Genomic DNA, 27,641 nt, shown 5'->3' with positions numbered 1-27,641 from the left:
CCATCACCCAAACCCAGGTCTTCTGATGCCTGTTCTAACACACCGTTCTGTGTGCCGGCCCATCTTGCCAGCCACCATTCTGCACCCTCACCAGCCACTGTGTCAGGTGGTCAAGAAGATGAGGTGATGAGAGGCAGCCTCTTTATCTCTGTTTGCTACACCCCCCAATATCAGGGTGTATCCGGGTTAGTCTTGTCCAGAAAAGCATGCAGTGGAAGGGAACTCTTCTTCCTCACTTGATCATTCAAGTGGCATTATGAGTCTGTGGAAAGAAACATACTCGCAAATCATGCTCAAATATCCTTAATGCACCTCTCCTCTTTCCTAAGATGAAAACAAAACAAAAACTCCTGAGTTTTCTTTCCCTCCATCTCATCATCCATTCTGATTGTCTTAGGATTAGCAGCAGTTTCCCAAGTCTGGTTGAATAACAGTAGCCATAATCATTAGGACCATCTTCTGCCCCAGACACTTCACAAAATCAGGATGAGATCTTCCCATGACACTCAACAGTGATCACGTAGTCAAGACAAGTGTGAAAGCATTGAGCCACATTCTGTGTATCTCCACAGGCCTAATTAGAGGGATTTGACAGATCAGATTAGTAAGGGTGGCAGGCATGGGTGTGGGGAAGGTAAGGACAAGGTCTGTCTACCCTAACCCTAACAGGAGAGCTTGTCTACAGTCTCTCCTGTTAAAGTGCCTAAACCGTTGTTTAGGAAATATGTTCCCAAGAACTATGTCCCTGCCTTAATCAGAAAGAAGTACATTATGTCTGTGGGCTTCCAACTCTCTGTCTGGCTACCAGCACACACTGGCAAGATGTCACTGCCTTTGAGGATAGGAATCATGCCTTATTCATCTTTATCTTCAAAACTGCTTATAACAGTACCTGGAGCATAGTGAGGGCTTAATAAATGTTAGTTTAATTGAGACTCCCCCCAGAGAGCTGAGAAATACCAGGTCTTTTAATCCTGTTCTGCCATAGCCTCTATCTCAGAAATAGCAGAGACCCAAAGGAATTAGAACCCTGGGAAGGAAGAAGTGGTATCCCCAGCAGCCTGAGCCCTTCCTCTAAGACTCACTATGAGACCAGAAGCACGGGGTTCCCTAACCTCTTCCCAGTCAGCCCAGAAAACTGGAGAGGGGAGAATTTCATGTAGACTATGATGACCCAACTTTTCCATGCCAGAGCCATTTACAATATGAGTGTTTTATTCATGAGGGGTGAGAGTGGAGAATATAGCCAGAAAGACTGAGGATGCTGTGTTAAGGACCATACTCTGTAGAAATCACTCAGCAGTCTTGGGGCAGGGGCAGGGGCAAGAGGAGCTGTCCGTGGTTCTGACTCCTTCTCTGGCTTCTCTCAACTCTGGACTCCACAGGCTGATCCAGGTTCTTTCCTTGGTGCCTATTTTCAACCTGGCCTGCTACAAACATCCAGATGCTTGACAAGATGGTCCAGATTACTATGCATTCCAACCCCAATTCACATCAATAAAAGGTAGAGAGTTGCGGATCCAAGATCAGAGCTCATCTCTGCTTCCTGCCTGCAACTCCATCTTATCCAAATCTGAACTCCACCTAATTAACCCCTTTCTTCCCTGGATGGCTTCCCCTGTTGCTCCCATACCTTCTGTCTCAGCCTGTTTCTCGGGATGAACCTTCCAGAGTCCTTTCAGCCATTCCTGCCTCCATACTGTACCCTTCCTTCCAAACCATCTAGGAAAGTAAAGGCTCATATATTTGAGAAGAAGATTCAAAAAGTAAAATCCCAAGATGTGGTATGTCAATTCCCTACTCCATAGTTTCCTGGACATAAATTTAATAGAAGAAACATGAGGCCTCATTTGCTTCTCAATAGCAAAGCAATTCAAAATATTTAAAATGTTTATTTCTCTCTAGCAAATTTCTAGAATCCCTTGCTTAAAAATGTCCTTATACAGCCAAATATTTAAGCCACTGTATGTAACAGGGAGAAAGAAAGGGGAGATGAAAAAGTCATGTAATCACATTTCAGGAGTCAGGAATAATGATTGTCTTTAGTGACATGCAAGTTTCCCCCTTTCTTGTTTTCATCCTCCTACCTGATGTGTCCTCTTCAGAGACAAAATGAGCAGTCCAGGTCCTTTGCAGGCCTAACAATCCCCTCAGTTTTAATGTTTATTTCTGTTAACAAATCAATTACAGCTGGCTCTCACTATTCACGGTAGTTATGCCCTATAATGTTGCTGTGAACTCTGAATTCGCAAACACTGAACCATTGCTCCTAAGGGAAGCACAGGGTTAGGTTCCTGTGAGCCTCTGGTTACAACATTTTCACCAACTGATCAATAGATAACCTTGTTTTATGTGTGTTTCTGTTTAAAGACATCTTACTTAGTATTTACTGTTTGTTCATTAACATTTAACTCATGACCAACAGCCCTATAAGTCATGCCTGAGTGAAGCTTATCTAACATGTATCATCTCTGGAAGGCACGTTACAGCCTTCTTGCATTTAGAAACACTAAATAGCACTTCAGCTTGAGGACCAACCACTATGTTTGGGGGCCATTTTAAAACAATGAACTCACTAACAAATAGCACAAAAATGTGAAAACATGGCACTAAATAGACCATGAAAAGGACAATTGTTTATGGCATGAGAGATGAAACAAGAAGGCAGTGTTGCCTTGTTCAGCCTCATCTGAGAACGTGCATGGCATTTGGCAACTAAAATTTTTTGCCACTCTGCATATGTCCACAAATGACCACATGAGTATTAATTTAGGGTTACAAATAAATTTTAGCAAATAGCCAAATCCACAAAGATTGAACATGTGAATAACGAAGATCAACTATATATCCATTGAGTACTTACTGTTAGGCATTGTGTTCAGTGCTAGGGACAGAGTAGGGAGCAGCAGACAAGATTCCTGTCATCTGGATGCCCTTCTAGCAAAAACTACATGTATTAAACAAGTAATTAATTTAAATAATGATGTGTGTCTAAAATGGAGGTCCACAGGATGCTAGTCCGAGGACTCAGAGAAAACCCTCCTGAAGAAGGGATATTTAAGCTGAAACCTCAGGAATGAATAAGAGTAGCTATTAGATGAAGTGTGGTGTTCGCTTAAAATGAAGGAACACATGTGAGGTAGAGTGAATAGCAAATATAAAAGCCCTAAAACAGGAAAAAATCTTGATATGTTCCCAAAATTAAAGAAAAATCCAGAATGACTACAAAATAGGGAATAGGGGTGGAAGCTACAATATAGATAGGAACCAGGCCATGCATAATATTGTAAGCCATGTCAAGGATTGGGTTTTTATCCTGAGTGTACTGAGAAGCCATCAAAGCGTCTCAAGAACGGGAATCACTCAGAGAAGATCATTGTAGTGTCTGTGGGAGGTAGGTTACATGGAGAAGAAAATAAACTTCAAAAGATGATTAAGAAATTGGTGGGAGAATGTCTTGCAGCACGATGATGGCAGTGGGAATGGAGAAAAAGCAGACCGATTTGAGAAATATTTAAGGCAAAGGACTTGTTAAAGGTTTGCCTGAGAAGACCTGAACAAGAATGGTGAGGATGCTGGAGAACTTTCTTCATCTTGATGAGTTTAATTTGAAGGCCTGAGTGACATCTGTGATGTCCAGTAACAGTGGGGTCTGGACCTCAGGAGGAAAACTAGTTGGAAGATTGATCTGAGATAGTAAACTAAAAGTTGTTAGTGCAGAGAGAGTAGTAAAGTCATCAATAAAGAGTGAATAACAGAGTCTATGGAGAAAGTGCAGCTTGAGGATAGCAAGGGCGGTGTAGAGCAGATTCCCAAGAATTTCAACATTTGAGGTGAGATAATGGAAAAGAAGGAAGAGGAGGGGGAAGAAGAAAAGAGAAGGGGAAGGAATTACCTCCATCTTTTGTACTTCCAAAGTGGGATGTGCTTGGGGAGGAAATTTACATCTGGGAAACTCTGTAATGCTGAAGATTGTTCACTGGCCATGAAATCCCAAGATGTGGTGTGTCAATTCCCTACTCCATAGTTTCCCGGACATAAATTTAATAGAGGAAACATGAGGCCTCATTTGTTTCCAAACAGCAAAGAAATTCAAAATATTTAAAATGTTTATTTCTCCCTAGCAAATTTCTAGAATCCCTTGCTTAAAAATGTCGTTGTACAGCCAAATATTTAAGCCACTGTATGTAATAGGGAGAAAGGAAGGGGAGATGAACAGCTTTGTGTAATTTGTGGATTTATGTTTGTTAGACAAAAATGCTCCTCATTGCTTCCTCCCCCTGCCACACACACACAAACACACACCACACACAAAGTCAGGAAATCTTTTTCACCTAGCCTCACTCTCTCTGCTCTCTGGTCCTTTTTGTAATGTGGAATTGTCTTTATTCCTGACTATTCTGACACATCCAAAGAATGGCATGGTACATTCAAGTTTTCAGAAACTAGGGTCTAAGATTAGCTATTTTCATTCAAAAGGTTTGCTTTGTTATTCTCTCTCTTCTTTTTTCCTAGATCTCTAAACTTTCATTTCAGCCCTTATTTAAATTTCACCTTGCATGAAGTAACTTACATCTTTTGCCCAAGCTAACAGACATTCATAGATACCCAAGAGATAACTTTGCACCTGCCATTCCCTTCCCCTGCTAAATTATTATGCATCCTTCAAAATCCAGATTAATATCACCTTCTCCATGAAGCTCCCTGATTATCCCAAATGAAGTTAGATGCTCCCTACTCTGTGCTCCTAAACTTCTCTGCTCATACCTCTATATCTAGCACTCACAACACTGAACTGTAATTGTCTTGCCAGTCATAATTGGCAGACTTTTGAGTCTCTCAAGACTGGAAATTTTGATTCACATTTATATGCCTAATGCCTGGCACTTAGTAGGTATTTAACAATTATATGAATAAGTAAATTAATGTTGAACATCAGCTTGTAGCAGCTTCTGGATCCTAAATAGACGGGTCCAGAATTCTATCCTTTTCTAGACTTCCACAGATATATCTTTCTCCCCTGTAGGTGACTGAGGGGTTTCTAGATGCAACAATTATATCAGACACACTTGTTAAAGCATTTGTAATTATCCAAGGGTAGGTGTCATGGGTGAAATAGTGTTCCCCACCCACCAAATTCTTCTTCACCAAGAACCTCAGAATGTGATAATATTTGGAAATATGATCTTTGCAGTTAGACTTAGTTAAGAATCTTGAGATGAGATCACCATGGATTTAGAATGGGCCCTAAATCAATGACGACTTGTGTCTTTATAAAAAGATGAGAGAACATGGAAAGATGCTGAAACAAGAGCATGTGAAGATGGAGGTAGAGATTGGAGCTGGAGATAGCAGTGACAAGCTGAGGAACACCAAGGATTGCTGGAAGCCACCAAAGCTAGGAAGACACAAGGAAGGATTCTTCTCTAGAGCATTCAGAGACAGAATTGACCTTCTGACACCTTGACTGCAGACTTCTGGGCTCCAGAACTCCAAAAGAATAAATTTCTGTTATTTGAGCCACCAAGTTTGTGGTAATTTTTCTGATGGCCTAGGAAAATAATATAGTAGGGAAGAACCTTCTGGGGAACAGTAAAGACTTCCCTAGGGTCTCAATATAAACAGTCTGCCTCAGGATTTGCTACTGGGTGGAAAATATTCAAGGCCACTGGACCAAGATTAATCTCACCATATCAGAGTGCAGTCCCATCTGAGAGCCTAGAGTCAGCAGGGTTTAACTGCAGGAGCTTAAGGCATAGCAAGGCTGGGTGGCCCAGAGTCCTAACACTAAAGTTGGTGTCAAGTAGTGATCTGTTTAGCAAAGGCCTTGCTCCTAACTTTTACAACTGGGGTCTCCACAGCCCTGAAATTAGTTTGATAATAACTTGGGGCACAGAAACCAATTATTCCCCTAGGCATGAAAAAGAGGGGAAACCTAGAACTGAAAGGCATTGTAGATTAGTTTGTGATCCCACTCTGCAATTGTCATTTAATTCCAGCCACTGAGACCTCGGCCTTGTGACCTCTGCCTTGTGACCTAACTCCCACTGTGCATCCTGCCATGATTATATCTGCCTGTCTGTGGTTTAGAAGCTCTCTTATGTTCTCACTTCCTCACTGAAAGTTCTTCCTATTGCACTACCTTGCTTGAGCCCACTCCCAGAACAGTCGACATATTTGTAACTACATGTGTATTCTGTCTCTTTTACTTGAGCATTAGCTCCACAGGTACCATTATCTTGTTCATGTTCTTTCCCTAATGCCTATCACATTGCCTATAATATAATAAGGACTTAATATATTTTTATAAAATTTAATTATACTTATACTTCTCTTTCAGACCCTTCCCTGTCTTTTTATGCTTCAGTTATAGGGAACTCAGTTTTCCCCAGAATCAGTGTTCCTTGTGCCTTAGTGGTTTTTTAAAAAGTTGAGTCCTGGCCATGAAACTCAGACTCATGACTAAGTCCTCCAATGCCAGCTGCCCCCACCCTCAAGACACTAATTGCACACATATCCAGACTTTCTTAGTTTTCCTGATGCATTTTTCTACTATGCAAAAACGTGACTCCAATCAGCCAATTCCTTCCATCTCCTCACGGTCAAAATCTGAAAGAGGCGGGTTCAGCACCGTGGACAGCTCTAAACCACTCCAACCTTGTGACTGGTTGCTACTATTGTTGTTCAGATGCCAGCCTCTCCAAAGAGCTTGACACCCCACCCCACCACCACTTTGGATAACCAAAAACTATCTGATTGCCTTGGACCCATAATGGCTCTTGGGTTTAAAGAAATCCTGAGTCATTGATGTGATCCTCTTCCCCTTGTAGGCAAAGAAGTGGCCCTCCACCCCTTCAACAGACATTGGGTCTGAAACCAGGATAATATCACTGGTAGGTCTTCAGGCTCATCAAGAAAAGGAAGATTTCTGTATCCTTATTTTTTTGTTTTATTTCATTTTTGAGACGGAGTCTCACTCTGTTGCCCAGGCTGGAGTGCAGTGGGGCCATCTCTGCTCACTGCAACCTCTGCCTCCCAGGTTCAAGTGATTCTTCTGTCTCAGCCTCCAGAGTAGCTGGGATTACAGGAGTGTGCCACCACACCCGGCTAATTTTTGTATTTGTAGTAGAGGCGGGGTTTCATCATTTTTGCCAGGCTGGACTCAAACTCCTGACCTCAAGGGATCCACCTGCCTCGGCCTCCCAAAGTGCTGGGATTACAGGCATAAGCCACTGTGACTGGCCATTCTGTATCCTTATTGAGCCCATGTGGTTGAGATACTAGGTTCAGGGGAGGGAGACAGAAGTCCAGGTTTTGTGTCCAATTTCCTTTTAATGGTAACTTTCTCCTCCAGAGATGGAAGTTTAAATGTTAATACAAGCTAAGATGGCTAAACATGTCCTTAGACTCTCTCTATGCCACACTTTTTATGTTTATTTTAATTTTTTTTCAAGATACCTTATGCTTCCCTTGCATAGACACGTATGAGGAAAAATATATTTTGTTTGAGAGTCTTCTACAATAAAGATGGGGATTTCTGAACAAATACCATATAAATCAGGTGACAAATGCTTAGTTAACTTAAAGTGTAGCAATCTTCTCTTCCTCTGAATCTACCTTTCAACCATTTTTGTCTATTCAATATTTCTTTTTTAGTGAAAAATTTTAAACATGCGCAAAAGTGAAGATTAATAGTGTAATAAACTTCCACATAGCAATCACCCAAGTTCAAGAATTATGAATTAGTGATTCACAATTGAATCAGTTATTGATTATTGAACTGTCAAATTTGAACTATTGAAAGTTGTCACACCAGCTGTATTGTTCATACCTTTTAAAATTTTTTCTTTTTGGTTGCTGGGGGATATAAAATCAAATCCTAAACTTCATGTCATGTCACCCCAAACATAGTGTGTTCCTATTTATTTATTTACGGATGGAGTTTCACTCTGTCACCCAGGCTGGAGTGCAGCGGCGCCATCTCGGCTCACTGCAACCTCCGCCTCCCAGGTTCAAGCGATTCTCCTGCCTTAGCCTCCTGAGTAGCTGGGATTACAGGTGTGCAGCACCACACCTGGCTAATTTTTGTATTTTTAGTAGAGACAGGGTTTCACCATGTTGGTCAGGCTGATCTCTTTTTAAAATGAACAGTTTCTTACAAAATTACACCACCACTATCATACTTAACAATGATTTATTTGTATTGTTCAATTTCCACTCCATGGCGAATTTTCCCAATACTATGTAATATGTAAATTTTCTTAATATTGTATATGGAATATATGGAAAATATGTAAATTTCCTTAGTACTGTATACTGAGTAAGTCTGTGAGGAATACAATGTATTGAGGAAATACCGTTTATTGATGTAATATGAAGTACACAGAAATCCCATTATTATTGGTGCTAACATTGAATAGTGGATACAGGGACTGCCAGCCTGATTACTCCACTGTAAAATTTCCTCATAACTCTTCATCTAATGGACTCATCCAGTGATGATCAATTAAGGTTACAAATGGTGATTTTCTAATTCTTTCATTTCTTATTCATTTAGTAGCTAGAATTTTTCTGTTAAAAAAGTCCCTCAGGCTATTTGATTACCATAAAATATAGTTCATAGAGGAAAATCAAGACAAATGATTAATTCTCCATAATTCCAATTACCCAGATAGCTTTTATAATACTGAACAAATTATAACCAGAGTATTTATTTTCTAATTTATCTTGTTCTTCATGCCTTCTTTGGTTAAGTTAAGCTCTGAGGAAAGAAAGAATTTATGTGTTTTCTTTTGAAAAATATAAATTCATGGCTGGGCGTGGTGGCTCACGCCTGTAATCCCAGCACTTTGGGAGGCCGAGGCTGGTGGATCACGAGGTCAGGAGATCGAGACCACGGTGAAACCCCGTCTCTACTAAAAATACAAAACAAAACAAAACAAAAAAAGCCGGGCGCAGTGGCGGGCGCCTGTAGTCCCAGCTACTCGGGAGTCTGAGGCAGGAGAATGGCGTGAACCCGGGAGGCGGAGCTTGCAGTGAGCTGAGATCGTGCCACTGCACTCCAGCCTGGGCGACAGAGCGAGACTCTGTCTCAAAAAAAAAAAAAAAAAAAAAAGAGAGAGAGAAAAAGGAGAAAGAAAAATATAAATCATAGAAATATTAGGTTGGTGCAAAAGTAATTGCAGTTTTGCCAAAACCACAGTGACTTTTGAACCAGCCTAATGTAAAGAACCTCAGAAATCATCTATTTCAATCCACACATTGTACAAGTGAGGATACTGAGGCATGGGGATATAACGTGTTCAGTTTGGTGGATATGCTGAGACTGCAACCTGATCTGCCAGATCCCAGAGTGTTGCTCTGGGTGGCCTCTTAGATAACATATGTGAAAAAGTGTTTGTGGAAAAATAATAGCTAGATTCTCATATTCATCCACAGCTAGGGCTCTGTGATGGTTCCATATCTTACTTCAAACCATTTATTATCTTACTGAAGAAATGTGAGTTACCTAGATGAATCCTTAGCTTGCCAAAGATTATTGTCAAGAATGGAGTTGCTTGGTGAAGAAAATTATCTGACTACCTGAGAAGAATTTTTAGTGGTTTGTGCTGGAGCAAAGAATTGACAGTTCACTTTAGAAAGTAAAAATCATTGATCAGTTCTATGTTTATTGAATGCTAAGTCTATACCACTGTGATACAATTAAGAGCTCCTAAGATATGATTCTCATTCCCTAAAATCTCATTAGAGACGTCAGGCATACAGATAAAACCAGCCACAAAAGTTAGTGCATAGTCATGACCTGAATAGCAGAGATTTCTCAAGATGTCTGTGCTCATGGCCAAGAGAATGGACAAGCAAAAAACGCTGAGAGCCTGGGGATTTTGGAGGGCATTGCAGAGGAAGTGAGGTCTAAATTGTCCAGAGGACAATAGGCAGGTATTTAAGGCAAGGGAAAGCTGGGTGCCATAATGAGGAGAAAGGAAATGCCAAAGGGATGCTTAAATCCATCTCACTGGGCTAGGGGATTTGTAAAAGGGCTCTTCCTTATTGAGGTGAGAGATAAGATGATTGGAGTCAGGCTGAAGAAGGCCCTAAATATGTAAACACAGAGTTGGGCCCTTTTGTCCCATCAGATGTGGAAAGCCACTGGGGAACCGCAGGCAGAGATGGCATGTTAAACTCTAGGGAGCAGCTGCCAGTCTCACTCCCATCCAGAGACTGTCATCTCTTGCCTGAAAAGATTGAGACCTCACACTGCACAGTTTCTAAGCCTTTTTCTTAAAGTAAACTTTCAAAACTGTGGGACAAAATAATCAATTCTACTAGGACAGGCCACCACTCACTGCTAGGGCTTTGAATTCTTTTTCCCATCCACTCTTAAAACTTCACCATTAGAGCCATTCTTCCCTATTCAATAATGGTGCACACTAATGCATTCAATAAACACTTATTTAATAATATGCCAAGCACTGTCCCAGGCATTGAAATATAGAGGTGGATAGGTTACAAAAGGCTCCTGTTCTCAAGGGGCTTACAACCTAGTGGAAGAAGACAAACTATACAATATATGAGAAAACAAAGACAAACTTATTTCAGATTGTGAAGTGGACATATCATTATTGACAGAAAGTAATTGGGGATTAGGAAGCTTCTGCAAATAGGGTTGTTAACAAAGTCTTTCTCAAAGACAGAATATTTGATCTGACATCTCAGTGATGAGATGGTGTTGACATTCAGAACCTGGGGAATATAGTTCCAAACAGACAGAATGGTAGATGCAAAGTTTCTAAGAAAAGAGAGGGCTTCATATATCAAGGGATAAAAAGAAGGCCAGTGTAGTTGGAACAGAGTAAGTGAAGTTGTGAGTAGTATGAAATAAAATCAGAGGAGTGGAAAAGGACCAGATCATGTCAATCCTAATAGTCCTTGATGAGCAGTTTGCATTTTATTCTGACAGTGATGAGGAGCCATTGGGGGATTTTATATGGAGAAGTGACAAAATCTGATATATCATTTTAAAAGATTAATATGATGCATTTGGAAGGATATTATAGCATTGTGTGTAGAAGTACAAGCCTGGATACCAACTAACTACCCATCAACAAGGACAAGATAAATAATTTGGTGATACGTGCATTCAATGAAATACCAGGCAACTATGAAAAAGAATGAGTCCGTATTTATATTTTGATATAGTTTGTCTCTGAGTAAAAGGTGTCAATAGTGTAGAGTGTTTGTTACTTTTGTGTAAAAAAATAAAGCAGAACCCTAAAAGAGGAGACTTTGTAAAGCAATGGATTCTTTGTCAATTTCAGATGGTTCCTTCTTGGTCTACTGATATGCTTTGGCTCTGTGTCCCCACCCAAATCTCACCTTAAATCGTAATAATCTCCAAGTGTCAAAGGCGAGACCAGGGGGAGATAATTGAATTGCGGGTGTGGTTTCCCCCATGCTGTTCTTGTGATAGTGAGCGAGTTCTCACAAGATCTGATGGTTTCATTAGGGGCTTCCCCCTTCACTTGGCAATCATTCTCTCTCCTGCCACCTTGTGAAGAGTTGCCTTCTGCCATAATTGTAAGTTTCCTGAGGCCTCCCTAGCCATGCAGAACTGTGAGTCAATTAAACCTCTTTTCTTTATAAATTACCCAGTCTTGGGTATTTCTTCACAGCAGCATGAGAACAAACTAATACATCTGCTAAGGCCAAGTAGGATATCCACCATGCAGCTAGTGCTGGCCACTCAGTTAGCCATGCTGTACCTGTGAGTCTACTATCCTGCTGTCTACTCTCTACTATCCTGCTGTCATCATCAGCAAAATCCAGACACATGACATCAGCCTGCCAGATGTTTCATAGTTGCATGTTTCATAGATTCTTAGTGGGAGAAAGTCATGGTGAGATCCCTGTCAATCACACCCAAAATTTCCAAAACAAGGCAATTAAGTGAGCAGCAGGCACAAAGCTCATGGAAGGAGTTTCTCTGAGGAATTCTAATTTGAAAATTGTGGATGGGGTCAGACAATGCCAATTTTTGAGAGGACGGGGGAAAGGGGGCCACAGTGGGAAGAGAGGCAACCTGCCACTGAGCACCAGGGCAACCCAGGCCAGACAGGCTCCTATTCTGGTTGTCTTCATCCATGCAGTGGGGGCAATGAATTATATGTGGATAAAGGTAAAGCCATCCCAGAATCCACCCTTCCCCTTAGCTCACTGTTTTTCTCTGTCACCATTCTGGCTGGAGCCCGGAAAGTGTAATTGTGTAGTGAAAACTGTGTAGGGTAGAGCATGATAAATGGTGCATTCCAGCAACAGAAAAAATCTCGTGATGGCCCACGTCTCCAGGTAATGCCATCCTCCTCCACTAGCATACTCATGCTCACACTCACGCATGCAATCACATGTTCAAACTTCCCATTGATTTCCTATTGCTGTGATTCTGTAGAAAGACCTCTCTGACTCTGGTCCTGATACATTGAATCAGTAGTTCTCAAGGTGTCGCTCTAGGACCAGCAGCGTTGACCTCGCCTGGGAGCTAGTTAGAGATGGGCATTCTTGGACCCCACCGCAAACTGAATCAGAAACTCTGGCAGTAGGGCTCAGTAACCTATAGTTTAACAAACCCTCCAGGTGATAGTGATACAGGCCCAGGTTCTCAGCCTTGGCTACACATTGGGATCACCTGGAGAGCCTTAATGACTAATGATGCCTAGGCCCCACTCCAGAGGTCTGTAGCAATCAAACTCTCTAAGAGCTGGATAGTAGAATCTGTTTGTGTGTGTGTCTTCTGTCACACACATGCACACAGTGAGGATGAATGGTGGGAGGAGGACAAAAAGTCTCTTCCACCTGGACACCTTCCAATAAAATCATCAACTTGTCGCCTTTTTCTCTGCCTTCCTCTTTACCTGTCTCTTCCTTCCTATATTCCACTTCAGAAGTGTTTGAGCACTGCTTCAGCAGGTCTCCTCTGCCTCATTTCCAGACTGAATGCATTGAGGCTGCTAAGTAGTTCAATCTTCGACAGCCAGCAGTCGCACTTGAGGCAGAAGGTCTCATCTTCATGACACTATCAGGAAGCATCTCAGAAAGCAGCCATTTTGCAAACTTACAGGTGGAATTGGCCCTAATGTAGAAAAATTGAAAGATTAATTGAGTTAAGAAACAAATTTATTGTTAAAATAACTTACCGCCGGGCGAGGTGGCTCACGCCTGTAATCCCAGCACTTTGGGAGGCTGAGGCGGGTGGATCACCTGAGTTCGGGAGTTCGAGACCAGCCTGACCAACATGGAGAAACCCTGTCCCTAATAAAAATACAAGATTAGCCAGGTGTGGTGGTGCATGCCTGTAATCCCAGCTACTTGGGAGGCTGAGGCAGGAGAATTGCTTGAACCTGGGAGGCGGAGGTTGCGGTGAGCCGAGATCATGCCATTGCACTCCAGCCTGGGCAACAAGGGTGAAACTCCGTCTCATAAATAAATAAATAAGTAACTTCACTGTTTAACTCAACAGAAGTGTTTTAAAATTTAGCTTAACTCTATTGGTGCTGTTTTCCACTTCAGTGAAGACCTGTGTTTACAAAACGTAAGAAGTACTTTTTCAACCTGGAATGATGCTATACCAGGACCGCCAATGTGTATTCCCTGCTGAGCCTTAACATGTGTCCCCTGCGATCTGGGTGACTGCAAGTGTGTGTCTATCTTTTTGTGTCTCTTTGTGCTTTAAGACACTTGGAGTTTCCTTGCGGACATATAATGAGCAGCAAGTAACCTGCCAAACCACTGGGATATCCTCCTGCCTGGGGTCCTTTGGTTGTAAGGGTTCTCAAGGACTTTGAAGAGAAGAGAGTAACTCAACCAGTGCATGGTATAAAGAGCATGCAGCTGTCACATGCATGCTATTTACACCATGCAGGCAAGTGCACATCAATTCATATTTGATAGCTGTGCTATGGTGGGCACACTTCCGAGGGAAGCCCTGCCAATTATAACAAGGGCAGCTATGTGTTCAATATTAGCAACATACCCAAAAGAAATAGCAGCTTTGGATTTCTTCTATGATTGTTGAACAGCTTAGCCAAGTCATGACACATTAATTCATTCAGCATTCATTGAGCAACTGCTACTTGCCAGTCATTATGCTAGGCATGCAAGAAACGAAAACAAGTAAGACCTACTCCCTGCCTTCAAGAGCTCATGGCCTGGAGGATGAGACACATGTAAATACTGACAACACAAGGTGGACAGTGTGTGGCCACGGCAGATGCAGGGGGCTATAGGAGCATGGAGAACACCTGATGCAGGCCTAGCAGGTGATCAGGGGACATCAGGGAAGGCTTCTTGGAGGAGCTGACACCTGAACTGATTCTGGAAGGATAATGGGCATGGACTAAGTAAATACTGGTGTCAGGAAGTGATAGAAGTCATCCTTCATCTTGGTGAGCTCCAGAAAGTTCTATTTTGGGTCAGAGATCTCAATTATAAATTAATGACAGCTATGAGCTCTCTCCCTGGTAAAATGTTCATGTATAATTACAGCACAATTTCTTGGGGTCATGGACTGCTTAAGTTCCATACACAAATCCTCTAGGGTTCATGAACCCAAAGTTAAGGGCTTTGCAGAAAATTATATCCTCTGTGCTGGAGGAACCCTCTGAGACCACCTAACCCAACCCCTCACTTTATCAACAAGGAGATCAAGGCCCAAAGAGGACAGATAACTTGTCCAGGGCCACACAGCCAATGGGTTGTGGGGATGTAGAAGTCTGAAAGGGGAGGGAAGGCACATCCAGCTTCCAACCCCCATGGTGTCTTTTCCACAGGGATATTTCCTGGCTGGCATCTGAGCTATGTCGATGTGAAGGACAACTCCCGCGACGAGACCTTCCACTTCCAGTGTGACTGCTGGCTCTCCAAGAGTGAGGGTGACGGGCAGACGGTCCGCGACTTTGCCTGTGCCAACAACAAGATCTGTGATGAGCTGGAAGAGACCAGTATGTGGGGGAGATCATTGGCTCAGGAGGGAGGCAGGGAATGGTGCTGGAATAAGAAGACACCGTTCCAGCTGGAGGGGGGTCAGGTGCCAGATACAGGGAATAATATGGAGATATGCATGAGGAAACATCCTAAATGCTGTTTGGTGAAACTGGAACTGCTAAGAAACACTGATGCCAGCTCATGGCTCAGAATCACAGGGACTAATTAGGTAGCAGGAAAACCCACTGGGGACAAGCTGACCCTGACCTGAAGGCTGAGCTGGGTGGTTTGGTGTGGAGTTCTCTCTGGTTTATTTTTATAACATGGACATCATCCAACTGATGCCTGTGGCAACAGCTGCCTAATCAACGCTTCCTAGAAACAGAATGCAGGGGAAGCCAGTATCTCTAGCAGCGGCTTTCCTTTTGTCCCTTCCTCAGGGGATATTTAAAGGGGAAGAGTAATTGATCCTGAGGGGATGGCCATCAAAGCTGAGGGAGATGTGCCTCTCACAGATGCCAGGGTCTGGGCCCAACAGATTGGAAGAGGCTTGTCAAAGGCAGAGCGTGACATAAGAAATGGATTTTTCCAATCTTAGTTATTAAGGCAGCACTAGCTTCAGTAAGAGGCAAACCCCTAAATCTCAGTGTCTTCACACAACAAAACATTTTTCACTCCTATAATACCCAGTCCAGTATGTGTGTTTGGTGGGAGGTCTTCCACGGAGTGATTTAGGGACCCAAGCTCCTTCTGTCTGTATCTCTCTCTGGGACATCCTCTGGCAGGGCCAATGTCTTCCTCTCTGCAGCCCCTCCCACTCCCTATGCTCCCACTCTTGAAGCCTTTTAAGGCTGCCCAGTCAGCCTTACCTGCAACACTTCCAGCCAAAATACAGTCCAGCTTGCAGGCCAACTCCCCAGGGATGGAACAGTCACTGCTTGCTTCACCAGACAGTTCAGCTAGAAAATCCATCTTCATATTTATGTTATTGAAGCATCCCTCCTTTGGTAGTCCCAATGGAGTCAAACAGAAAATTTCAGGAGTGGTCAGGACTCTTGGTTGTATGTACCTGAAACCCAATCCTAAGCTGGCTGTAGCAAAAGGGAATATATTGGCTCCCAGAACTTGGAAGTCTTGGGTGGCTCTAGCCGAGACTTGGCTGTCTCCAGAGGCTCCCGTGGTCTCAGTACGTCTCTTTCTCTCTTCTCCTCTCAACTCTGTTTCCTCCCATGTATCAACTTTGTTTTAGTACAGACTCTCTCCATTGTGGAAGGTGGCTGCTCGCAGCTCCAATCCCACACCATTTCAGCTTAATAGCTTCCATGGAAGGGAAGAGAGCATCTCCCTGCTTAAGTTCCATACACAGATCCTCTAGGAGGATTCTGGGGAGGATTCTGATTGGGCAGGCCCAGGACTCTCAGCTCCATCCAACCCACATGGTAGGAGCTCCTCAGCGTAAACCGTGGGCCTGAAACGTAAGACAGTAAAATCCAAATGTCCACTAGAAGCCCAACTATGCTCCTAGCATTCCTCCATGGCCGTCACATGCCCCTGTAGTTCTTGTCTCGAGACTAAACATCTGTTTATTCTGCAGCAGCTCCTTGAACAATGTGACATGGAATCTTCCCTGCATCCTGCCCCTTTCCCTCTTGGTACAACCTGTATCACTCATTCGCTGCCCTCTGCAGATGCCATGCCCAGGATGAAGGCAAGATTTCAATGGGGATCTGTTCGCTCCTCTCCTGTCTTGCCTTTCAAACTACGACCCATGCCTCCTAAGCCCACAGTAGCTTTGCTGGTGGCCCCTTTATGCTAGTGACTTCCATGTGCTTCTTCCTTTGCGTGACTACTGAGAGCCTTCCTCTAGTAGGGCTTGTCCTTGGGTGTGCTGGCCCCACGGGAGATCTGTTAGATGGGGCTCATCACGTTTACCTGCCCTGAATATTCAAGTTCCTGATCCTCTTTCATCTGTTCCTTCCCAGCAACCTGTGAACAAAGTTGGGAATCATGCCTTCTACATTTTTATCAAGCCGCTTCGTGTGGGAAAGTAAGCAAGGTGAAAATATGCTGATTGAAACTTCCTCTCAAAAGACCACAGATGTGACTAGCAACATGTGTTTCTAATCTACCTAAATGTCCTTGCTTACAAACCTTGCTTCTCTACCTTATCCTTAGGACCACTAGGAAAGAATTCATTTCAATCCATGTAGGAAACCCCACCCGCATCATCTCTCACACCTCCTACTTGAGTCCATCACGGTGATATGCAGGTTCCCAGTGCTCCGTGCCTCCCTCACTGATTCTGACAAACCATTTCCCTAACCACACCCAGGATCCCTCTTTGAATTCACCAGTACCTGTTTGCAGAATAGACCATCACCTCCCATGGGAAAGCAGAAGGCAATGGTACAACTTCCCTTGCTGGGATGGCTTTGGGTCTCTGGGCTGGAATCTGCCCTGGGCTGCAGAACCCCTCCCTACTGCAGAAGGATGCACTTTCTGTGGATCTCTTCCTCTATCAGAGGCTGCCTGTCTCTTTGCCTAGATTCACTCTACTTGTTTCAGGTAGCAGAGATTTCTCCTTGAGAAAAGTTACAGAGGCAAAAGGGTGGCTGAGGGGCTGGGAGTGGTGCTACATTGAGCCACAGGTATGGCCGTCTCTCATCTTCATTATTTTTATCATGTCTCTGAGATAAAGGCACAGAAACAGAGCTACCCCTTTGGATCCAGAATCCCAGACCGTCAGTCATCCAGGTACTGCAGCAAGGGGTCTATGTCTGGGGACACTTGAGCCAGACACTTACTGTGTCCTCCAGGGTGCTGGTTCCATCCCTGGTCTGGTCCCTGGGGAGTGAGCCTGGATCACATGTCACACTCTCTCAGTATCTTGGCTTAGGGGGATCAGGTAGCAATTTTAATTAGGGTGGTTGGATAGACATCTCTGAGACATGACTTTTGAGTAAGGATGAGAAGGAGGTGAGTCAGTGAGCCACGCCACTATGGGTGGGGGAGGGAGAGGGAAAGAGGGAAGGACTCCAGGCAGAAGGACAGCATTGCAGAGCTCTAGGGAGGAGCACACCTAAGTGCTCTGGGTGCAGCTAGGAGGCAGAGTGGCTGGAGTGAGAAAGAGAGAAAGTACCAGGACACAAGGTGGGAGAGGAAATGGGGAGCCAGGTTTTCCTCTTACCCCACGGTACTTTGGCTCTTTTTTGCAGGGTTATCTATCACATTCTGTCATATGGTACAGTCCATGTTTGTGTCTGGGGCTAGAGATTGAGTTCTAGTGTCACCCAGGGTCTAGTCCAGTCCTGGCACTTGGCACCTACTTAACCAGTGTTGGAGGAGTGCACACCTGTGCAGACACGATTGAGTGAATAGCAGGGTGAGATGGAGTGACACCAAGACAAGATGCAAGTGAGACTGCTTGCTGGAGCAAGTGCAAGGGTCTTTGGGGTGGCTTTGCCTGCCTGGGTCTTTCCCCTTTGCTTTTGCACTGGGCCCCACTTCTTGTCCCTTCTCAGCACCAATCTCCATTTTGCATCTCACCCCTGTAGCTGAATGTTCAGCCCCACCTCCTGCTGCATTCCCAGTGGCTCCCATATTTGCCTACAAAGAGGTTGCTACTATAAATAAAATGAGAGCATTCGCTGTAGCCCCAGAATCCGGGCAGATTCTACCTACAACGCCTCAATCGTGGTGCTTTTAACCTGCCTCCCCCACCCCCAGGCTGCAGCCTAAGATCAAATGAAGGACCGGAGGCCGTGACCCTCTTGCTCCCGCCCTGAAGACGGGCACTGCTTCCCCTGTGCTGACCCTCCCCCACCTCCTCCATTACAGCCTACGAGATCGTCATAGAAACGGGCAACGGAGGCGAAACCAGGGAGAACGTCTGGCTCATCCTGGAGGGCAGGAAGAACCGATCCAAAGAGTTTCTCATGGAAAATTCTTCTAGGCAGCGGGCCTTTAGGAAGTAGGAAGGGGAGGCCCATGGGAAGTGGTGGGGGGTGGGTAGGTAAGGGAGGACCCCGAGAATCTCCCTCTTGGGTGGGAGCCATAGGTACACAAATGGGCCTAACCAGCAAGTACTTACTGAGCACCTACTGTGTGCCAATCCTGTGCAAGCACCCAGGGGCTAAACAGGCAATGGTGAAAGGGAAAGCATGGGACTGCATTTAATGGGAGCCCACCCTGTGGATGGACAGTGCTACTCAGTCCAAACATTGCCCCACATCTACGTAGACAAGGACCACACCTCCTTCCATCAGAGCCACCTCTGAACTGTTCGGATGCCCACTTCATCTCCTCACTCTCTCCAGGACTGCTGAGACAGCCTCCACCTCCCCCTTAACTCTGCTACATCTTTCTCTTAGTCCATTCTGACTGCTATAACAGAATACCTCAGACTGGTAGCTTAGAAACAACAGAAATGTATTTCTCACAGTTCTAGAGGCTGGGAGTCCAGGACCAAGGCACCAGCAAATCTGGTGTCTGGTGAGGGCCTGCCTCCTGGTTCATAGCCATCTTCTCACTGTGTCCTCACATGGCAGAAGGCGGAGGGAGCTCTCCAGGGCCCCTTTTATAAAGGCATGAATCTCATTCATGAGGGCTCAGCTCTCATGACCCCATCACCTCTCAAAGACCCTACCTCCAAATACCATCACACTGGAGAATAGGTTTCAACATATAAATTTGGGGGAACTGGGGCACAGACATTCCATTTATAACAACCTTTTCTTCAAATCTCTACCTCAGGATGAAGTCTGGACACCTTAGACTGGCACTTACCCCCACAGGCTGCCTGCACCCATACCTTCTCCATTAGCTTTTCCCTCCCTGAACCCAAACTTCACCCAAGCCAGCATTCCCCCAGAAATATCTGCACCTCCACACCCCACTGTTCCCACCTATGACTTTGCTAAGACATGTCTGTTACAGGGGACTCTTCCCTTCCCCTCCTCCCTCTGCTCTCCAAGTCTCACCACCCTCCCCATCTCCATCCTGCATAACGATGTCACCATTCTTTGGTGCTGAGGCCAGGCAGCTAGTGGGGCTTTTTCATCGTGATTGTCTTGGTCCCAAACTGAACTGAACCCCTCAAAGCCTCCAGGACTGCCATGAGCTCCTGCTTGCCATCCCATCCCTGTTCCCTGGCCCACTGCTTGGAATGCAGCAGGCCCCCGACAAATGCTTACCTGCTTCAGTGGGCAAAGGCAGCTCATGGACCACACTTTTGTTTCCTGCAGGGGGACCACAGACACGTTTGAGTTTGACAGCATCTACTTGGGGGACATTGCCTCCCTCTGTGTGGGCCACCTTGCCAGGGAAGACCGGTTTATCCCCAAGAGAGAACTTGCCTGGCATGTCAAGACCATCACCATCACCGAGATGGAGTACGGCAATGTGTATGTACTGAGCCTCTCCCCAAGGAAGTGCCACTCCCTCAGCATGGGGCAGGGACTGAGCTGGACCATGGGCAAGAGAGCAGGGTATGATGAGGTCTCTTCTTCAAGGTCAAGATTACCCTGTTCAGGAGGCCTAGAAGGCAGGAAGGGAAGAGACAGCTGTATGCTTCTGAAGCTATCTGGATTGTGCATCTACTATCAGAGGCAGGGGAGTAGGCCAGATGACCTGGGGTGCATCTAGTCTTTGGATCCAGGGATGCTTCCTTGGAAGGATACTGAGAAAGTCAAACAGTGCCAGAGAGCAGAGACTTTCCTTGCCTTCCCCTTCCCTCAATCTAAAATGACAAAGAAACACAGTTATGAAGCCTGCTGTTTACACGGTCATAGTGAAAACCCACCATCCATGTGGGCAGAGTAGGGACCAGAGACAAGCTAGGGTAATCCAATGGTCCATCTGCCTCACAGTACCCCAGATAAGGGGCTTTGCATTCTCTCATCAGAGCCTTCTGGAGACTCAGACATTTCTGGAAGATTAAGGGTCTTAGTTACCTGGGCAACATAGTCACAGTCATCAATTTGTCTAATTAAAACCCCTTGGTAACCAAGCTGGAAGCCAGGAAGAGCCCTGAGGCTCTGGAAGGCAGGAAAGGTGCTGAGAAGGAGCCAGGGGAGGGTGGAAAGGGGAATCCAAGATCAAGGCTTGCCAAAGGGTAAGTGAAAGCTGAGTACATAGCTCACAGGGCCAGAACCACTGTGGACGCTCCCACATCTGCACCTCTCCCTGGGGCTGGCCCTGCTCATACCACACCCTAGAGCCTTCCCTGCACAAGGAAAGGTAGCCCTTGTCTGCACAGAAGCGGCAGCCAGGCTGGACCTAGGCAGAGCCCTCGGCTATGGGCTCTGGCCCTCAGGAGGCCAAGCTTCTCAAAGCCACACTTGTCCAACCTGCAGCTCCCTGGATTTGGCTCCCCCAGACCAAGCAACTCCTTGGGAATTTGGCAGAAGAGGTTCTGACCTCTGCTCAGACTGCCATAACAAAATATCAGAGAGTGGGTGGCTTAAACAACAGAAAGCTATTTCTCACAGCTTTGGAGGCTGGAAGTCTGAGATCAGGGTTCTAGCATGGTGGAGTTCTGGGAGCACTCTCTTTCTGTCCTGCACATGGCCGCCTTCTCTCTGTGTCCTCACGTGGCAGAGAGAGAGAGCTCTGGTTTCTCTTCCTCTTTGTGTAAGGGCACTAATTCCATCATAAGGGCCCCACCCTCATGACCTTATCTAAACCTAATTATCTCTTGAAGTCCCCCATCTCCAAATACCATGGCATTGGGGGTTCCAGCTTCAATGTATAAATTTGGGGAGATACAACTCTGTTCATAGCAACTTCCCTCTTGAGCTATGGCATTATTTGCTGCTCTTTTAGAGAAAGCCCAGCTCAAGTACAATCAATCCTGTAGGAGTTGCTCTATGTGGCTGCTAGGACCAGTACTGATGAGAACTTGACAGCTGGGAGACTATCCCAGAAAAGTGAATGACTCACTGAGCAAGTCAGGGCCAGGCCTAAGCCCTTTCCATGGCTCAGTACTACCTCCCATCCACAAGGACTGTGTCTGCTGATACTGCTCATCTGCAAACCTCCCAAAATAAACAAAACAAAATAAAATAGTCACCCTCACATTACCCTTAAACCCACAATGTTGGCCGAGAGAGAGTTCTCAGCACCACCTGGCACCTTCCTGTCTTAGGAGGAAAGGAAGGCAAAGGCCCAGCTGTAAGCTTCCTGCCCCACAGTCCTGGGCCTCAGTTGTAGAATTTTCCATCCTGCAGAAGAAAAAGCCGCTCTTAATTGAAGCATCTTTCCCTCCAGCCTCAGGAATGCAGCCTGTCTTTTGTTGTCACCAGGGCTGGAGCGGGGAGGAAGAGATATCTGTGAGGAAGGGGCTCTTCCTGAAGTGAAGGGGTTGCAGGGGGTCCAGGCCTCTGGATACTAGCGCTGTCACCTGGTCAACTGTGTGGCCTCCAGCAGTTACCCATCAACTCCTTGTGCTTCACGCTGCCCTTTGGGAGGAGAGCTGGATGCTCTATAGGGTCTAGGGTAGAGGGACGATGGCAGGGGTGTCAGCCTAGGAGCTCTCTGAAGTCATGCCCTAGCTCACCCCTGCCTGCCTGCAGTTCTCAAGCCTGTGGTCTCTGCTGGATGAAAACCTGTCACCTGCAATTCTCAAGCCTTATTCTCTGCTGGATGAAAACCTGTCGCCTGCAGTTCTCAGTGGTCTCTGCTGGATGAAAACCTGTCGCCTGCAGAAATACCACCTTCGTCCAGAAGGGGGACTTTGCAGGCATGTTTAATCGTGGTGACAATTCACATGGCCTCATTCTAGAAGGAACCTACATTCTGCATTATAAAACCACTTGCTTAACACTGTGTGTAACATCCACAATTCCTTTCCTGCCACCATGTTAGCCATATTTGGAGTTACATGAATTACAAATGAATTTAATCTCAATATCTCATACACACAATAACTCCAAATGTCCATCTCACAGCTATTTCCATTCTGATCCCTCTTTTGCAGTGTGCTGTTGACCTTCCTGACCAGTTCTCATTCATCACTAATAGCCTCAGGATTTGGGTGAAAGGTCATACAAAAAGACCTTATTTTTTAACTGAAAACACCTTTATTGTTTATCCCGGTAGCATATCTAATACACAACCATAAAAATTCAAATACAGAAACGTATGTAAAAGAAAGTAAAAATTCCCTACAGCCCTGCCCATCAGAGGTGGCCACCATGATGAGCATTTTGGTGACCCCATTCTCTCTGGGATTTTTCTAATACACAATGTTCACAGATGTGTGCTTATACATAGTTTTGAATATGTATCACTTTTTTCTGCTCATTTTTCTCTGCTTTTGCCTTTACTCTGGCTGGACACCTTCCCCCCTTTCTAGCAGGAGCAGCCCGCTGAGTGTCCTTCCAAAGCCAGAGCTTTGTGTAAGTCTGCAGGGCCCACATTTTGGTGATCCTATAATTATGTCTATCAGAAAACATTTCCTTATATCTACACCAGGGAATATTTTTCAGCCATCAAAAATAATGAATTAAATACATACCAGATGACTTGGAGCAATTCCCAGGAAGTATTATTGAGTGAGAAAAGCGAGACACAGGAAAACATGTCTTATGTGATGCCGTTTTGTAAAGGGAACACTGACATCCCCATATGTCTATGTACACGTGGGTCTGTGCAGGGTTGGGTGAAATGGAGGGAAATTTGGCAGGCTACACCCTCAACTGTTACATGGGTTATCTGAGGAGAAGCGATGCTGAAGTGAGAAGGAGAAAGAAAGAGAGCCAAGCAAAGAGGGAGCAAAAAAAAGTACGTTTAGAAAAGTATGTATATGATCAGATGATTTTTGTATTTATATAGAATGATGCATATTAGTGGGCATATGCATAAAGAAATACATTTTAAGAGAATTTTAAAACAATGCAAGTATCTCCTCCTCTAAGAAATTGTAGTATGTAACAACAATCCAAATTTATCAAGTGATAAATTGGGGGAAGAAGGATCTCAAAACAGAATAAGGATTTCCTGCAAATGTCTTTAAATGGCTTATTCTTCAGGGCCAGGCAGGCTCTGGCTCTGGGTCACCTTAAGCGCTGACTTTTCTTCTTCAAGTCTCAGTTCCTCCTCCTATGAAATGGGAGGATGATGCCCAGGGTTGTTGTGGGAGCTAATGAGATTCAAGAATGCAAAGTCCTGGAGTTGTGTAAGCAGGCAAAAAACCAAAGGTGTTTTTTTTTTTGTTTTTTTTTTTTTCTGTTAAGAATGTTCATCTAAAATAGGGTTTGATTTTGCACCATTGGGCACACCTTTTCAGTGTTGCATTCCTGAAGTTGTTAGCCAGCACCAAGACAGCTTGTTTTCAAAGGTGTTAGCATATTAGCAATTTGGAGTGGGAAGAAACCATAGCAATTGTTCAGTCCAAACCTCCAGCTTCGCCAATGGGAAAATCAAGATCTGGGTAGGATATGTGACTTGTCCAAGGTCACACAGATGGTAGGTGGCAGGGCTGGGGCAGACCATGCCCTCTCACATCCTGTGCAGCATTTTCCCACCATGCTGTCTGGCTTTTTCCTTTATAATTCCTGAACCCACTGTCATTACCCAGAGGCTAAAATTGGGGATGTGCAAGAGAAGGTTTGGGAGGACTTCTTGGTCCAAGACCATTCTCTTGGCTCTAGACTTGCTTCTGCTTGTGATGGCTTCTTCGATAGAGGACTTTCTCTTTCCCTTTGTACTCTGCAGTCCATGAACACACACACACACACACACACACACACACATACATATATATACAAACTCTTTGTTCAACTCAGCCAAGTGTAAGGGATCTGGGAGCGTACATTTAATAGTCATATTTCCACTTGGTTTTGCCTAAAATTGTCACTCTGGATTCAGCAACTCCCTCTAAAGGTGACAACACCAGGTACAAAAATTAACCAGTCCCTTTAAGGGAGCAAGAGTATCTGCAGATGGGAGTGAGCTTGGAAAAGAGCAGGTGACAGGTGAGAAAGGAAAGCACAGCTGTGTGCAGTGACTCACACCTGTAATCCTAGTGCTTTGGGAGGCCAGCGCAGGAGAATTGCTTGAGGCCAGAAATTTAAGATTAGCCTGGGAAGCATGGTGAGACCCTATCTCTACAAAAATATATTTTTTTAAATTAGCTGGACATGATAGTGCATGCTCATAGTTCCAGCTTCTCAGGAGGCTGAGGCAGGAGGATGACTTGAGCCCAGGAGTTCGAGGTTATAGTGAGCTATGATCGCGCCATTGCAGTCCAACCTGGGTAGCAAATTGATACCCTGTCTCTAAAGAAAATAAAAATTAAAAATACATAAAAATGAATAAAGGAAAACACAGGAAGAGGAGAGTCAGATCATGAGGAGTTTTGCAGACCGTTGTAAAGTCTTTGGCTTTTACTTGACATGGGAAGCCACTGGAGGGTTCTGAGCAGGGGAAGGACATACTTGGGCTTACCTCTCAATAGGATCACATGGCTGCTTCATAGAGAATTGACCACAGGTAGCAAAAAGCTAGAAGACCAGTTAGGAGGCTCTTGATAATTTCCAAATAGGAGATGATGGTGACTTGGACCCAAGTAGCAGGAGGGCAGATAGATACTAGACAGTTTTCAAGTGGGCTGGTTCTGGATATATCTTAAAAATAGGGTCGGCCAGGCGCAGTGGCTCACGCCTGTAATCCCAGCACTTTGGGAGCCTGAGGCAGGTGAATCATGAGGTCAGGAGTTCCAGACCAGCCTGGCCAAGATGGTGAGAAAAAAAAAATAAAGTCAACAGGATTTGCTTATGGATTGGACATGGAGTATGAGGGGCAAAAAAGAAGTAGAAGAATCAAGAAGCAACTGGAAGAATGGAGATGCCCGTCCATGGTGAATTTGAAGTTAAACAAGAATCCATACGCACATTTAAACCAACATTTCCAGCTCCAATATCCCATCACCTTGGGAAGGGATCATTTATAGATGAGCAAGGGGATCTGGGGGAGGGAGCAGCCTCGGCTGGGGTCTGCTTAGCCCCTACCCCTCCACTCTCCCACCTCTCTGCCAGGTACTTCTTTAACTGTGACTGCCTCATCCCCCTCAAGAGGAAGAGGAAGTACTTCAAGGTATTCGAGGTTACCAAGACGACAGAGAGCTTTGCCAGCAAGGTCCAGAGCCTGGTGCCCGTCAAGTACGAAGTCATCGTGACAACAGGCTATGAGCCAGGGGCAGGCACTGATGCCAACGTCTTCGTGACCATCTTTGGGGCCAACGGAGACACAGGCAAGCGGGAGCTGAAGCAGAAAATGCGCAACCTCTTCGAGCGGGGCAGCACAGACCGCTTCTTCCTGGAGACGCTGGAGCTGGGTGAGCTGCGCAAGGTGCGCCTGGAGCACGACAGCAGTGGCTACTGCTCAGGCTGGCTGGTGGAGAAGGTGGAGGTCACCAACACCAGCACCGGCGTGGCCACCATCTTCAACTGTGGCAGGTGGCTGGACAAGAAGCGGGGGGATGGACTCACCTGGAGAGACCTCTTCCCTTCTGTCTGAGGGGCTAGGGCCCCCACCCTCTCACTGAGATGCCCCAATCTCACATTTCTGCCCTCCACCTTGGCGGTCAGCAGCCCTTCAAAGCCTCTAGCATTGGCACTGGGGGCTAGCAGTCCACTGAGAACTTCATGGGGTCCTGCTCCCCACCCTACCCCCAGTTTATTGAACCTACAGTGATAATAATTAGCATGTGTCATAATCTGTGGCTGCCCAAAAATAATTTTTTGTATTTCCTTTTTCTGTAATAACAGTAGTGACCAGGCTGGGACTTGCTGCAGAGTGTGGATGAGAAATTGAGTCTTCACCCAGGGGATAGAAGTGGAGAAGCAGAGGCCATCAAGATGGTGTATTTTAAGCAAAAACTAATTAACACTTTTCCCCAAAAAAGCTAGGCTAATTAAATTATTACCAACCATATCCTATAAAGAACTCATCTTAGCATCTGCTTGCTAAGAAGTGTATACTTTTCCCCAGTTTCAATAAACCCAGTGGCAAGTGGAGAAAAACCTCAGGAAGAAGTGTTTTGCCGGGGGATTTATGAGCCTGTGAAAAGTAGATAATTCTTTCCATCACTTTACAGAGAACGCATTGGCAAGTGCCTGCTGGTTATCCCAGCCTGTGCTAACACAGTCAGGACTGGACACAAAGGTGATAGGGATGGCACCTGCAACAGCCTGGTCACTGGCACTCTAAGGCCGGGAGAGAAAGCAGGGTCATTGAGGTTATTTGGTGATTATCACCTGTGGCTCTCTGTGGGCAAGGTTTGGACTGAGAGCTGAGAGGGGCTTGGGAACAAAGTGAAGACCTGGTCTTTACCCTCAAGGGGAATGTGACCTTGATGGAGAGGCAGCAGGAGAACTGTACATTTGAGTACCCACACAGATTCACACATGCACACACACTCTCCCTGATCGGCAGTCACAAAGTCACAGCAAGACTTCGCAGAGCTCAGCACCTAACTTCTGATTTTCCTGTAGAGAAAAGGACAGCAACAAGGTGGGTCGGGCTGGAAAATATCCCTACAGGAGGGCACCCCAGGACCAGTGTTTCTGCCACTTTGCTGTCCCTGCACCCTCTGTCCCAGAAAGGTCTAAACTCGCAGTGAGGCTTCAGGACCCTGAGGCAAGTTCAGGCCCCTCTCAGAGATC

General features: G+C 45.2%; 1 protein-coding gene across 18 annotated transcripts in view, besides 2 other annotated features; it reads left to right on the top strand.

Annotated features, from left to right (window-relative positions):
- The window catches only part of LOXHD1 (lipoxygenase homology PLAT domains 1), a 180,260-nt gene extending 153,256 nt beyond the window's left edge, over positions 1–27,004 (top strand). For 12 of the 18 annotated variants that reach the window (NM_144612.7, NM_001384474.1, XM_047437289.1 and 9 more), the window contains 4 exons: positions 14,823–14,993; positions 18,814–18,946; positions 20,220–20,378; positions 26,013–26,692. In NM_144612.7, the coding sequence (NP_653213.6) occupies positions 14,823–14,993; positions 18,814–18,946; positions 20,220–20,378; positions 26,013–26,493 (944 nt within the window). In that variant the 3' untranslated portion in view covers positions 26,494–26,692. The other 6 variants (NM_001308013.2, NM_001173129.2, NM_001145472.3 and 3 more) reach the window with 5 other exon arrangements.
- Positions 1,252–1,452: a silencer, noted in NCBI's record as "peak3133 fragment used in MPRA reporter construct". NCBI's record gives its function as "represses an SCP1 promoter by STARR-seq MPRAs in K562 erythroleukemia cells {active_cell/tissue: K562}" and the evidence as "EXISTENCE:reporter gene assay evidence [ECO:0000049][PMID:32103011]".
- Positions 6,552–6,752: a silencer, noted in NCBI's record as "peak3132 fragment used in MPRA reporter construct". NCBI's record gives its function as "represses an SCP1 promoter by STARR-seq MPRAs in K562 erythroleukemia cells {active_cell/tissue: K562}" and the evidence as "EXISTENCE:reporter gene assay evidence [ECO:0000049][PMID:32103011]".

The sequence above is a fragment of the Homo sapiens genome, chromosome 18 (genome assembly GCF_000001405.40).
Source record: "Homo sapiens chromosome 18, GRCh38.p14 Primary Assembly".
In the NCBI taxonomy this organism is placed as follows: Eukaryota; Metazoa; Chordata; class Mammalia; order Primates; family Hominidae; genus Homo; species Homo sapiens.
This window is presented reverse-complemented; position numbering and strand designations above follow the sequence as displayed.